The 14,958-nt window shown below is 37.5% G+C and overlaps 1 long non-coding RNA gene across 1 annotated transcript in view; it reads left to right on the forward strand.

Moving 5' to 3' along the window:
* Window positions 1–14,958, forward strand: part of NRXN1-DT (NRXN1 divergent transcript) — a 1,375,317-nt gene that overhangs the window by 282,179 nt on the left and 1,078,180 nt on the right. Inside the window, exon 3 of the long non-coding RNA NR_135237.1 lies at window positions 13,610–13,710. This is a non-coding gene — a long non-coding RNA (NRXN1 divergent transcript). The remainder of the gene's footprint in view (window positions 1–13,609; window positions 13,711–14,958) is intronic.

Below are 14,958 nucleotides of genomic sequence, written 5' to 3' on the forward strand. Positions count from 1 at the left end.
TGCCAGTTTTCAAAGGGAATGCTTCCAGTTTTTGCCCATTCAGTATGATATTGGCTTTGGGTTTGTCATAGATAGCTCTCATTATTTTGAGATATGTCCCATCAATGCCTAATTTATTGAGAATTTTTAGCATGAAGGGTTATTGAATTTTGTCAAAGGCCTTTTCTGCATCTATTGAGATAATCATGTGGTTTTTGTCTTTGGCTCTGTTTATATGCTGGATTACATTTATTGATTTGCGTATGTTGAACCAGCCTTGCATCCCAGGGATGAAGCCCACTTGATCATGGTGGATAAGCTTTTTGATGTGCTGCTGGTTTTGGTTTGCCAGTATTTTATTGAGGATTTTTGCATCAATGTTCATCAAGGATATTGGTCTAAAATTCTCTTTTTTTTGTTGTGTCTCTGCCAGGCTTTGGTATCAGACTGATGCTGGCCTCATAAAATGAGTTAGGGAGGATTCCCTCTTTTTCTGTTGATTGGAATAGTTTCAGAAGGAATGGTACCAGCTCCTCCTTGTACCTCTGGTAGAATTTGGCTGTCAATCCATCTGGTCCTGGACTTTTTTTGGTTGTTAAGCTGTTGATTATTGCCACAATTTCAGATCCTGTTATTGGTCTATTCAGAGATTCAACTTCTTCCTGGTTTAGCCTTGGGAGAGTGTATGTGTCGAGGAATTTATCCATTTCTTCTAGATTTTTCTAGTTTATTTGCATAGAGGTGTTTGTAGTATTCTCTGATGGTAGTTTGTATTTCTGTGGGATCGGTGGTGATATCCCCTTTATCATTTTTTATTGCATCTATTTGATTCTTCTCTCTTTTCTTCTTTATTATTCTTGTTAGCAGTCTATCAGTTTTGTTGATCTTTTCAAAAAACCAGCTCCTGGATTCATTAATTTTTTGAAGGGTTTTTTTGTCTCTATTTCCTTCAGTTCTGCTCTGATGTTAGTTATTTCTTGCCTTCTGCTAGCTTTTGAATGTGTTTGCTCTTGCTTTTCTAGTTCTTTTAATTGTGATGTTAGGGTGTCAATTTTGGATCTTTCCTGCTTTCTCTTGTGGGCATTCAGTGCTATAAATTTCCCTCTACACACTGCTTTGAATGCGTCCCAGACTTTCTGGTATGTTGTGTCTTTGTTCTCGTTGGTTTCAAAGAACATCTTTATTTCTGCCTTCATTTTGTTATGTACCCAGTAGTCATTCAGGAGCAGGTTGTTCAGTTTCCATGTAGTTGTGCGGTTTTGAGTGAGTTTCTTAATCCTGAGTTCTAGTTTGATTGCACTGTGGTCTGAGAAACAGTTTGTTATAATTTCTGTTCTTTTCCATTTGCTGAGGAGTGCTTTACTTCCAAGTATGTGGTCAATTTTGGAATAGGTGTGGTGTGGTGTGGTGCTGAAAAAAATGTATATTCTGTTGATTTGGGGTGGAGAGTTCTGTAGATGTCTATTAGGTCCGCTTGGTGCAGAGCTGAATTCAATTCCTGGGTATCCTTGTTAACTTTCTGTCTCGTTGATCTGTCTGATGTTGACAGTGGGGTGTTAAAGTCTCCCATTATTAATGTGTGGGAGTCTAAGTCTCTTTGTAGGTCACTCAGGACTTGCTTTATGAATCTGGGTGCTCCTGTATTGGGTGCATATACATTTAGTGTAGTTAGCTCTTCTTGTTGAATTTGTCCCTTTACCATTATGTAATAGCCTTTTTGTCTCTTTTGATCTTTGTTGGTTTAAAGTCTGTTTCATCAGAGACTAGGATTGCAGCCCCTGCCTTTTTTTGTTTTCCATTTGCTTGGTAGATCTTCCTCCATCCCTTTATTTTGAGCCTATGTGTGTGTCTGCATTTGAGATGGGTCTCCTGAATACAGAACACTGATGGGTCTTGACTCTTTATCCAATTTGCCAGTCTGTGTCTTTTAATTGGAGCATTTAGCCCATTTACATTTAAAGTTAATATTGTTATGTGTGAATTTGATCCTGTCATTATGATGTTAGCTGGTTATTTTGCTCGTTAGTTGATGCAGCTTCTTCCTGGCCTTGATGGTCTTTACATTTTGGCATGTTTTTGCAGTGGCTGGTACCAGTTGTTCCTTTCCATGTTTAGTGCTTCCTTCAGGAGCTCTTTTAGGGCAGGCCTGGTGGTGACAAAATCTCTCAGCATTTGCTTGTCTGTAAAGTATTTTATTTCTCCTTCACTTATGAAGCTTAGTTTGGCTGGATATGAAATTCTGGGTTGAAAATTCTTTTCTTTAGGAATGTTGAATATTGGCCCCCACTCTCTTCTGGCTTGTAGGGTTTCTGCTGAGAGATCCGCTGTTAGTCTAATGGGCTTCCCTTTGTGGGTAACCCGACCTTTCTCTCTGGCTACCCTTAGCATTTTTTCCTTCATTTCAACTTTGGTGAATCTGACAATTATGTGTCTTGGAGTTGCTCTTCCCGAGGAGTATCTTTGTGGCGTTCTCTGTATTTCCTGAATCTGAATGTTGGCCTGCCTTGCTAGATTGGGGAAATTCTCCTGGATAGTATCCTGCAGAGTGTTTTCCATGTTGGTTCCATTCTCCCTGTCACTTTCAGGTACACCAGTCAGACGTAGATTTGGTCTTTTCACGTAGTCCCATATTTCTTGGAGTCTTTGTTCATTTCTTTTTGTTCTTTTTTCTCTAAACTTCCCTTCTCGCTTCATTTCATTCATTTCGTCTTCTATCACTGACACCCTTTCCTCCAGTTGATCTCATTGGCTCCTGAGGCTTCTGCATTCTTCACTTAGTTCCCGAGGCTTGGCTTTAAGCTCCATCAAGTACTTTAAGAAGTTCTCTGCATTGGTTATTCTAGGTATCCATTCAACTAATTTTTTTTCAAAGTTTTTAACTTCTTTGCCATTGGTTTGAATTTCCTCCTGTAGCTTGGAGTAGTTTGATCGTCTGAAGCCTTCTTCTCTCCACTCGTCATTCTCCGTCCAGCTTTGTTCCATTGCTGGTGAGGAGCTGTGTTCCTTTGGAGGAGGAGAGGTGCTCTGCTTTTTAGAGTTTTCAGTTTTTCTGCTTTGTTTTATACCCATCTTTGTGGTTTTATCTACTTTTGGTCTTTGATGATGGTGATGTACAGATGGGTTTTTGGTGTGGATGTCCTTTCTGTTTGTTAGTTTTCCTTCTAACAGACAGGACGCTCAGCTGCAGGTCTGTTGGAGTTTGCTAGAGGTCCACTCCAGACCCTATTTGTCTGGGTATCAGTAACGGTGGCTGCAGAACAGCGGTGGCTGTAGAACAGCGGATATTGGTGATCTGCAAATGCTGCTGCCTGATCGTTCCTCTGGAAGTTTTGTCTCAGAGTAGTACTCAGCCATGTGAAGTGTCAGTCTGCCCCTACTGGGGGATGCCTCCCAGTTAGGCTGCTCGAGGGTCAGGGACCCACTTGAGGAGGCAGTCTGCCCATTCTCAGATCTCCAGCTGCATACTGGGATAACCAGTACTCTCTTCAAAGGTGTCAGACAGGGACATTTAAGTCTGCAGAGGTTACTGCTGTCTTTTTGTTTCTCTGTGCCCTGCCCCCAGAGATGGAGCCTACAGAGGCAGGCAGGCATCCTTGAGCTGTGGTGGGCTCCACCCAGTTCAAGCTTCCAGGCTGCTTTGTTTACCTAATCAAGCCTGGGCAATGGCAGGCGCCCCTCCCCCAGCCTCGCTGCCACCTTGCTGTTTGATCTCAGACTGCTGTGCTGGCAATCATCGAGACTCCATGAGCACAGGACCCTCTGAGCAAGATGCAGGATATAATCTCCTGTTGTGCCGTTTTTTAAGCCCTTTGGAAAAGCACAGTATTAGGGTGGGAGTGACCCGATTTTCCTGGTGCTGTCTGTCACCCCTTTCTTTGACTAGGAAAGGGAACTCCCTGAACCCTTGCGCTTCCCGAGTGAGGCAATGCCTCGCCCTGCTTCGGCTCACACACGGTGCGCTGCACCCACAGTCTGGCACTCCCTAGTGAGATGAACCCGGTACCTCAGATGGAAATGCAGAAATCTCCTGTCTTCTGCGTCGCTCACGCTTGGAGCTGTAGACCGGAGCTGTTCCTATTCGGCCATCGGGAGATTATTTCTTCAATATTATCTTGTGTGTTCTATTAAGAATGTCACCTTTTGTGTGTTTATTTTTCCACTTCTGTTCTGTACTAGCATGTTGAAATATGCTGTTTCCCACTCCTTTCTCTACCCCACTTTTCATGCCTGTGCTGGGTTAAAAGCAATGCATTATATTTCTTTTGTGTTTCTTTGTTAACCTAAGCAGTGAATTATTACATTTCATCATTCACATCCAAGTTGACATGCAAAACTCATTTGAATAACTATGAAAGGGGTGTGGAGAAGAGAGTAGGAATTAAGCTACAGGTGAAGGGGAAAAATAGTAATGATACAAGATAAATGAGAGGAACATGGTCCAGATGAATGGCTATGGATGGTCATGACCTGTTCGGTGTGATTAACTCCTCTGTATGCACGTGAGGTGCTCAAAATAAAATTATTCAGAATATATCTCTTCCTAAATATGAGATTTTGGCAATTTTAATTAACTTTCAAAGAATGCATTTTATTAACATTAGCTAGTTTAATTTTATCTTTTTAAAAACCATTATTTTCTCATATTTGTCCATTTCTGTTTTATTTTCATACTGTGTGTTTTAGACTTTCTTTTGAGTTCGCTCAGATTTTGCTAACATGTATGCAAAATGTTGGCAAGCTTGTAAAGTCTTTATAAGTCTGAGTGTGTCTTTATTTTGCCCTCTCTCTTGAATGAGAGTTCACCTCAGTAAAAGCTCCAGATTGTCAGTTAATTTCACTCTGCACTGAGAAGGTATCATTACATTCTCTTTGGCTTCCGTTGTTGTTTTCCAGAAGTCTGTGTCAATCTAATTGTTGCTCATTTGTAGGTAATCTCTTTTGTGTCTGTTAGCTTTTAAGATGTCTTCAAGCTTTTCTATTCTGCAGTTTCACTACAAAGTGTCTAGTTACAGATTTGAGTTTATTTATCCTGCTCCCTGCACAGAGTGTACTTTTGATCTGAGGTTCATTGTCTTCCTTCAGTTGTGGAAAATTAAGAGCTATTATCTTTTCAAATATTGGTTTCTTTCATTCTTTTTCGTCCTTTCTTGTCCTGAGAGAAGCTTTGGAATGGTATTGACTGGCTTCAAATTCTGTCTGCTTATTAACTCTTTGACAACCAGAAGATAAATATATGTAAAGTTATGTAAACTTTGTGTGCATTGGTTGCATCATAGACAAAGTAGGGGAAATGCCCATCTTACCAGAGGATTAAATATCTATCAATGTATAAGTACTTAGATGTAAATATATATGTATGCATATACATGTGTGTACACACCCAGACATATATATGTGTGTATATATACATATATATATATATATATATATAATATACTTACTGTTTCTGAAACCATGTCTCTTTACTACTCCTTTCCATTTCTATTTCTGTGTCTTTTACTATCTCTTCAGTCCTGTCGTGTTTAGAGTTTATCTTATCTTTCAGTCATTTCAATTATATCCTCTTTCATTTGCAAGATTCTAATCATTTTGAGTCTGTTGTTTCATTCCTGCTTGTTTTTGTTTCATAATTTCTTATTTTTTTAAGTGGAAGATTTGTTCATGCATTTTATAGTTTGCAGACTTTCATGTTTTTGGATTGGAAGATGAATTCCAGTCTCTATTTCTGTGTTCACCCTGCCCTACAGAGCAGGTTTTTGTAACCTCTAATTAGCCCTAGGAACTCCCAGGCCTAAGTTAGATTGATGATATTTCTGGGTTTTGCTCGGTAACAATAGTCTGGGATATCATAGACATAGTCATTGAGTCAGTGAGCCATTTGGTTCATTTTCTAGCCACTAAGTGGGGTCCTTTTCCCTCCTACCACTCTCCATCTACAACTTTGAATATGATGGAGCAAAATAAGTCAGTCAACAGATTTTTTTTTAGTTTGTATATTTTAATTTTTTTAAAACAATATTTTTTGACTTTTTTTCTAGTGTTTCTCTCTTACCATGCTTGACTTCAAGAGGTAAGTCTACTTCTGATTCTGTGATTAGAAATGAATGTTACCCCATGGAGCTTATCTTCTTCTGTACAACACCGTGTGATTCCAGATACAGAGCCTAACATGCCCACAGCATCGTATCTAGTCTCTGCTTTGTGTTTTGGTATAGTTTTGGTACAAAACAAACAAATATTTGTTTTTGACCCCAATATTTTCTTTATTTTTTCTCTTTTTATGTATTATTTGTCATTACTATACTTTTGAAGGTGGGTGTGGGGTAGAAGGATAGCAGTAGAAATTCACATGCCATCTTGACTAGAATTCTTCTATCCCCTCCTTTTTAATGCTTATTATTTTGTGTAGTTTCCTATTTGAGGGCACTAATATTCTACTTACATTATTTGTTTAGTAATAAAATATACTGAATATAAACAGCATGCTATTTGAAAAACAACTGAAAAACTGAGACCGTTTAGTCCAGAAAAAATAGGCTTGGAATGGAGGGTCCTGAAAAACAGTGTTTAGATATTTGAAAGGGTGTCAAGTGCAAAGGGATTTATTTAATTCAATTGTGTTGAAATTGAGAACTGTAGTTTGGCTAAATGAGGGAAAACAATTTGCATGGTCTACACTACAGAAAGATGGAATGACAGACAGCCTGCAGACACAGTGACTCTCTCAACCATAAAGTTTTTACTCATAGACTGGGTGGCCATTCAGTAGCTTTTACTGTGGGTTTAAATATGGAATATGTAGGTGGATTTGAATACATGAATTGCAATTCCTTCCCACAACTGAGATTTGACTTTAATTTATTGGAAAAAGGAACAGAAAATTCTGAAGCTATCTTTTATACGGAAGTAGCCATAAGATTGAGGTTTCTGCCTACTCTTAAGAACAAATGGATAATATGTTGGGCATTTTGTCAATTAAAGCTATTAATTTCAGTTAGCTTGGTATATAATAAGATAATTGTCTCATGCTTACATGCACAGCTTTGCTTTTGTAGATCATGGTTATTTACATTAAGGCTTAGTTTATTTATTCACTTAGCAAATTCCTACGTAGCACTTACTGTGTTCCAGGGACTGTTCTAAGTGCTTCACAAATATTACCTCACTTAATCTTCAAAAATTCATGTGAGGTAGGTACTAATACAGTCCCCATGTTACAGATGTAAAAACCTGGGGCATAGAGAAGTTAAGTAACATGACTGAGATTAGAGCAATAGTAATGACAGTGCAAGGATTCAGGGAGTCAGGAACCCAAATCGTTGGGCTTAATTATGACACTACTCAACCATAAAATCATTCAGTGCATCACAAGTAGTATAAAGTTCCTTAGCAACTATGCGCTTTCTGTTGGTACATACTGAAAATGTTATTTACATGTTACATTTGGAAATAATTTCTTTTATATATTAATATACAGGAGTTGTATTGGCCCAGAATACATTCTTTATATAAGATATATGACTGTATGAATGAAAAAGGAAAATAGAAATGTCACAATAGACTATCAAGCTAAAATTTAATTATTTATTGGCATCTTTAAATTCATTGGTGATGTACTTTTCCAAATGGGTTTTGAGTGGTAAGAGCAGAAATTAATTGTTTAATGCATGTTTTCCTTTCAAAGGAGTGTTAAAGTAATCATGGGAACATATAAGTTTCATTAACAGACTCCAGGGTGATAAATCACATTTTTAGGAAACCTCAGCTGGCATTAACATTCCATCCATGACTTGTGTAACAGCAGCTATATTTGTGGAACAATTTGTATGTAAATTTTGAGAAATAAATAGATGTTGAGGTTATCTAAGGAGGCTATTTTCTATGTATGACTTATGATCAATTCTGAGCATGGTGTTTATCATATAGACACAAGAAATAAATTGAAAAACCAATGCAAACCATAAAAATAGAAGAAAAGTACCCAAAGAGTTTTGTATTGACACATGTTCCCAGAAAATTGTGTGTCTATTCATATTATCTCAAATTGCTGACATGTGCATAAAATCATGTCGCAGAGTTTTTACCATGACTAATAAAGTATGCTACAGGTTTACTCTGTTCATAGGAAAGTGTTACAGGAAAGGGGTCCCAATCCAGACCCCAAGAGAGGGTTATTGGATCTCACACAAGAAAGAATTCAGGGCAAGTCCATAGAATAAAGTGAAAGTAAGTTTCTTAGGGAAGTAAAGGAATAAAAGAATGGCTCCTCCATAGACCAAGCAGCCCTGAGGGCTGCTGGTTGCCCATTTTTATGGTTATTTCTTGATTATATGCTAATAAAGGGGTGGATTATTCATGTCTCCCCTTTTTAGACCATATAGGGTAACTTCCTGATGTTGCCATGGTATTTGTAAATTGTCATGGTGTTGGTGGGAGTGTAGCAGTGAGGACGACCAGAGGACACTCTTGTTGCCATCTTGGTTTTGGTGGGTTTTGGCTGACTTCTTTACTGCCACCTGTTTTATCAGCAAGGTCTTTCTGACCTGTATTTTGTGCCAACCTCCTATCTCATCCTGTGACTTAGAATGCCTAACAATCTGGGAATGCAGCCCAGTAGGTCTCAGGCTCATTTTGCCCATTCCTATTCAAGATAGAGTTGCTCTGGTTCAAACGCCTCTGACAAAAGGACTTCCTAATCTTCACATTCATCCTTACCAGTTTAATTTTAAATGAAGATGTACTACAGAATAATTGAGTTGCTGCTTCTAGCTCTCTCGCTGATCTTTTCTTTAAGTCACAGAAGTGTTTTAGGACCCATGGTGAACTCTACCAACAGTAAAAAAAAAAAATCCATTAACCACCTTCATAACAGTACAAATATTTCTGAACTTACATATTTTTTAGTACCTCTTGCATGTAGGCTTTAGGATATATTATCCTTCAAACTACCTCTTTGGTTTCTTTCTTAATCCCACAGTGACAGTCCTTAGGAAGAAAACAATATAAGAATATTTAAAGTTAAAAATAATTTTAAAATTTTATAAGTAAAATTAAAATAAACACTAAAATGATTTATTTCTATTCAGAAGAACTTGGCTAGCACACTGTGTTTAGTGATTGTTAATTATATATTCCTTTAAAGAACCTTTTTGTGACTAAAGACCACTGAAATCACCTTTATTTTAGGCCAGAAGGCTCATTAATGAATGCAGCTCCTAAAGAATCAGATAGGCCTAATCCAGTTGAGATTTTATCTGCTTCTTGGCTTGGTGGGGGTTTAATTTGCAATCTTTATAGTTCAGAGTCTATAAAAATTAGCTGTCGATCATAAGACATTATTTGGTTTTATAGAATGGATATTACTTCTTTGACAGTCAAGTTCATCTATTTTTTTTTCTCCTCTCTGAGTTCCACCATAGCAAATGATTCCTTTCTGCTTGACATCTCTGTCATCTAATTGTGGTTGAGATTTCCCCCGGGATTGGTTATGAATGAAGGCAGACAATTGCAGCAGATTGCCATCTTAAATAACAATAGAACCCCTGGCTCACAGATGTTCTGTACACTCGTGGTAAAAGAGGAGTTCTAGTGGGAAAGTGGGAGTACAGGTTTGGATGGGAAGAAAATAATCAGGGACTTTCTTATTAGGCTAACCACGGACATTAGCCTAGTACATTCAGAGATTACTAACAAACAATGCTATACCTAACACACTGTCCTGATGTCCTGAGACGAATCAGCAATCTCCTTTAAAGTAGTTTAATAAAAGGGATTTTACGAAAAAGGAATAGTGAAAATGCTTTCCCATGGCAAAGCTCTTGTATATTGTATTTCTTCTCATGGATGATTTGATTCAAAGAAAGGACATTGTAAACTATTTATGAAAAGACTAGTAGCAATACTGATGACTAGCATTTTACTGAACATTTACCATACAGTAAATATTGTGCTAAGTTCTGTATATTTATTAACTCTGAAGTAGATACCAGAAAACCTACATTGCAAGCTGCACTCTTCCATTTACTTGTTAATGACATCAATATTCTCATCTTGTAAAATGGAGATAAAACCTACTGTACAGACTTCAGTGCTTCAACAAGGTTCAAACATATATTGCATGTAAAAAATAAAAAATTAAAACAACCCCACACACAGTAAATGTTAACACACATGTTAGGGCTCAGAAAATGATGCTCCAAAGTATGTACTTTGGCATGCTGAGTACTTTCAACCAAAGGACATTGGAAGGCCTCAGAAGCAGCCTCAGGACTAGGGTCTATCTGACCTTCTCCTTCCTGGCTGTCATTGGCCCCTCATTCTTTCTAGAAGTGAGTCATAGTAACCAGAATGCTTCTTCCCCAAGGTGGATCATAGAAACTAGGACCTGTTTCCTGCAAAGCCAGCTATAAAATCTGGAAATATTACTTTTACCTTCCTCTGCCTTTCTGTGTAGGAGCTGAGAATAAGTTCTTGGACTTACCTTGTCTGATTGTAGGTCATAAGATGCTCATTCCAGAGGTGTCCTGCTCTCTGTACATGTGAGGAAAGAATGCTACACAGAGAGGCCAAGAAGAATCTGAACACATAGGCCTTGTTGGGTTTTCCCACTCAATTACCATTAGGTTATATTCTTGTCCAATCACATTTCTACACAGCTGCCCATTCTTCATCGAACACAAACATAAAAATAGACAGTTTTTCCGTGAATCTTTGAGGTCTTCATTCTAAAGTCTCTGTCATGTAGAAGTTTGATTAAAGAGCTATGTTTTTATCTTGTTAACCTGTCTTTTGTTATAAAAGTGTTGGCTGTGACCCTTATGATGTGGAGGAAAAGTATTATACCCTTTTTGTTCCTACAAATGCTACCAATAAAGAGAATGATGATTGTCATTTTTATATTCCAATTATGTCTCCAGCAATTTTTGAATAATTTCCAAAGAGAAATAAACTCCAAGTCTCAAATATTACCCTCCAAGCAATCCTCTGCAAAGCTGACAAAAAAAAAAAGGAAAAGAAATTCTAAGAGAATTTACTCATTATTTCAAACTTCCCTTCTTCCATGACATTCTGTGATGGTCAGAAAGAGTTCTCTAGTCTCCACGAGACCTGCAACCATATCTTTGTATAATAAAAGATGCTTTGTTTTGGCCAAGTTCTAAAGTATATTATTATTTATAGACATTTTCATGAGTGCCATTTTTGATAGAGGTTGTTGTATTCACAATTGATAATGGATAGAGGGATGGACATGATTGTTTTAGAAATATGGCTTAGTCAAAAAGCAAACACATATAAAGAAGATTCTTTATATTTCTTTGCCCAGGATTTTACACGTACACACATGCACACACATACACATTTTAAATCAAGTTTATTCACCACCTATCTCTAGCTTCCTTGAATAATTCAACCGTTACAGAAAAAAATTCTAAAAATATTCTTTCCTTTTGGATCTGAAATATATTGATATAATTCAATTGCATCTACCCAGGCGTTCTTCAGTTCAATAGCCTCCTGAATTTGTTGTTATTGTTGCTCTGAAAGTTAATGGGGTGTGGAGTGAACAAAATGTTTGTGTAGCAGTGAGGGTTTCTAGAAAGAGGGATTCTACTTTTCCAAATATGTATGTAGGAGGTTTTAGTATTTGTGTTATTTCTGAGTTCTTATAGTGGTTTAGTGGAGTGATTTAAAATAAGGTCAGCCCAGAGTAGTTTCCGCAACATAAAGGATAGTTTTGTTGAAGATCAAGTTTATCCCCTGCTTCTTTTACTGCTACCCAATACAGCAGTCCTATTTCTTAAGAGTTCACATTTCCTTCTTTTACAATGTTAGAGGAAACATATTTTTGGGGTGTTCTGTCAATATACCAGTGGTGAACAAAATCTAAACTTAAATATGGGAGTAATATTTCCAGTGAAACTGCAAAAGGAGTCAACAGCCAATTGAGTTGCAATTAGAATTTTATTTTCCACCATTTCCCAAAATAAATTTGCTGACAAGAATTCAAATTTTCATTGTCAATAACTGTAGACAACCAAAAATAAACCTAGTCATGGAACTCTGTCTTTCAATTTGAAATGCATTAAATCTGATTACATATTCATAGTCTTAGAAACTTTTCTGTTTTTATCCTCTGGTTATTTGAGAAATCATTGAGTAAGGTATTGTCAAAGAATTTTTGTCGGCGGAAAGGAGAAAAATAAAATAACTTTCTGTTGTGACTTTCCATTGTGTACATTCAATCACTTAATCACTTTTTACCACTGCCACATATAAAACGTATTGTGATAAAGCTATTTGGGCTAGAAAATGGTAATGGCATAAACTGAAGTCTTCTAAAGGTTTCTCTCTATAGTTCAAGAATCAAAACATGAACATATCCGTGACCAAGGTGGCCTCGGCTTGGCTAAATTTAGACAGATTTCTTCCTGACTAAAGGCCCCAGGCCTTCCTTTCCTCAGAGCATCTGAGCATTTACTTTAGAAAAATTGCAGTCCTAAATTGTCTCTCTGTCCTTTTGAGATGTAAATCTTCTTCTAGCTTCTTGCCAGTTTTACAACACAGGAATATCTTTCTTGAGGACCTGGGATCCAACATTTGAAATGTATTTATTAAGAGGAAAGACAGAGCCCCATCTCCCAGTCTATGTGAGAAGGTAGGAACCTAACTTTGATAAACATCAATTAGCAAACAGATTAGGCCGTAGAAGGCCTCATCTCACTAACCAACTTCCCTGCTAACTTTCTCCAGTACTTTGCAACTGCCTCATCCCAGTGCTTAAAAATTCTCCTGCCTTTTGTTTCAGCGAAGTTGAGTTCAATCTCTTTCCCTTATTTTTATAGTCTTGAATAAAGTATTCCTTGACTGTTTCTCTTGTCCTATGCATTTTTTTATTTGACAATGCAGTAAACACTTTTAGAATGTTTAGTGGATATTTCTTACTTGCAGCTGCACAATCTCTGAACGCCTTCTATTTGGGAAAATTTCAAGGAAGACAGACAGGGTTTTACCTTCCACAGTGAAAACTGAGGAGAGGGACATATTTGTTGTTGTCTAGGTAGGTGTTTGGTAGCTCTGTGTGGGCTTCTGACCTAACCTCACCTTGGGCTACTCTTTGCTGGGGCTTTGAATCTGGAGTGGTTTATGTAAATAAGCAGGGGCCAGTCTGGAAACCATTCTAGGAGCAGTAGCAGATGCAGTGAAAGGAAAGACTGTAACTTCTCTGGAAGCAGGAGTGTCACCAGTGACCCTGTGGCCATGGTTGTTTCCATAACTCTGATGTGGTCTTGAATGGCGACAGGACTTTGGCAGTTATTCTGGGTGTCAACTTTCCACCAATTTTTGCATTTTGACTCTTCAACTTTCCACCATTTTTTTTTCAATTTGGCATCCCTTTCAAATAGTTTTCATCCTCTTTGAATAATCCAATGTTGGTTTATTTTGTTTGTAACCAAAATCATAGCTAATAGAGATGACCGAAGTATTAAATACCATAATGGCTATGGGAGATGTAGTGGACCTGTCACTAGACTTGGGATTGGAAAGCCTTATTTGTAATTCTTGCTTTGCAGTTCTCAGTTGTATGTGACATGGATCATTAGCTGAGCTTCGCTATCTTTTTGACTTTCAGTGGCTACTCCAAAAATAATCACACAAGGCAGGATTTCATCTATCCCTAATATTCTCAGAAGGTTCATCAGTGGCATGATGACAGAAAAAGTGCTACAAAAGGTAGGAATTGGGGAAAATTATTGTGAATTGAAATATCTGAGAAAGGATTTGCAATCCCAGCTTTTCTAGCATATACTTAGTTTTCTTTTTTTTTTTATTAGATGCACATTCAAGGATCTTTCTGGCTACATACAGAAAATTTGAAAAATAAAAGAGAAATATTATTAATAGAGGCTTTAAAATATATTAGGGGGGTAAAAGGAGAAACTACAATTTAGAGCAGTTGCCCTGGCAATGGCAGTGCAAGCTGCATCCATTGTTTCAAGTATTAATCAGTCAACTTGTTATTGAAAGCTTGCCACTAGAAAGACATTATGTAATGGGTGAGACAGAAGATATGCAATACTCTCCCTTCCCTTAAAACATAAATACATGATGACAAAAGCTATGAGTCAAATTTCTCCCTATTTATCAATATATAGCTCTACCATGCATGCCCTGTGGCCCTAAACAGAAGGAGCCTGATTCTCATCCTGCTTTTGCATATGCCTTGATACAAAGATAAAACCTAAAACGACGGCATTAGGTTACCTGGTGTAGGGTAATAACTCAGGGCATGAGTCTGGCATTCACAGAAATGAATTCAAGTCTTTATCTCATTAATGTATTAGCTTTTGGCTCTGATTAAGCCACTTAACTTCATGAAACTTGTTTCCTCCCTACCTATAAGAAATGCTAATAATTCTTAATGCCCATTATTGTCATATGTATCAAATGAAATAATGCATATAATGCATTTAGCAAAGTGTTTGGTGTTCAATGACTGTTCCTTGAATGGTTCATAATTATTCTTTTACATTATACATACATTTAAAAATCATTTCTATGACTCATTAGGTAGCATAAGCTGGGAGTGTCATAAAGCTAGAAATAAGCACCCAAAGGCTTGTGGGAAAATTGGAAGGCAGCAAATCCTGCTTAAAAGTCGACAGATACAGATTGTGTGAGGAGGCAGGTGGCAAGAGGTAGTGAAGGATAAGAGGAAAATTTGATTCTGAAATTCATATGTTTTTTAGAACTCCCCCCCCCACCCCTAAGTATGAGTTCAAGGAAAGAGAAAATTTACAACTAAGTCTACACACACTGTTACCTAGGAAACCAAGCCATGTAGCATATGCAACAAACACCAGTAAAAATAAGCCTGAAGTATGTTTCCTAAACCTGGAAGAAGAGTTACAGGGTTTAGACTTATGACGTCTCTCTTGTGTACTTCAAAGTTAAACAAAAATGTGCCATCTGACCTTGGCC

Source organism: Homo sapiens, chromosome 2 (genome assembly GCF_000001405.40).
Source record: "Homo sapiens chromosome 2, GRCh38.p14 Primary Assembly".
NCBI classification, from domain to species: Eukaryota; Metazoa; Chordata; class Mammalia; order Primates; family Hominidae; genus Homo; species Homo sapiens.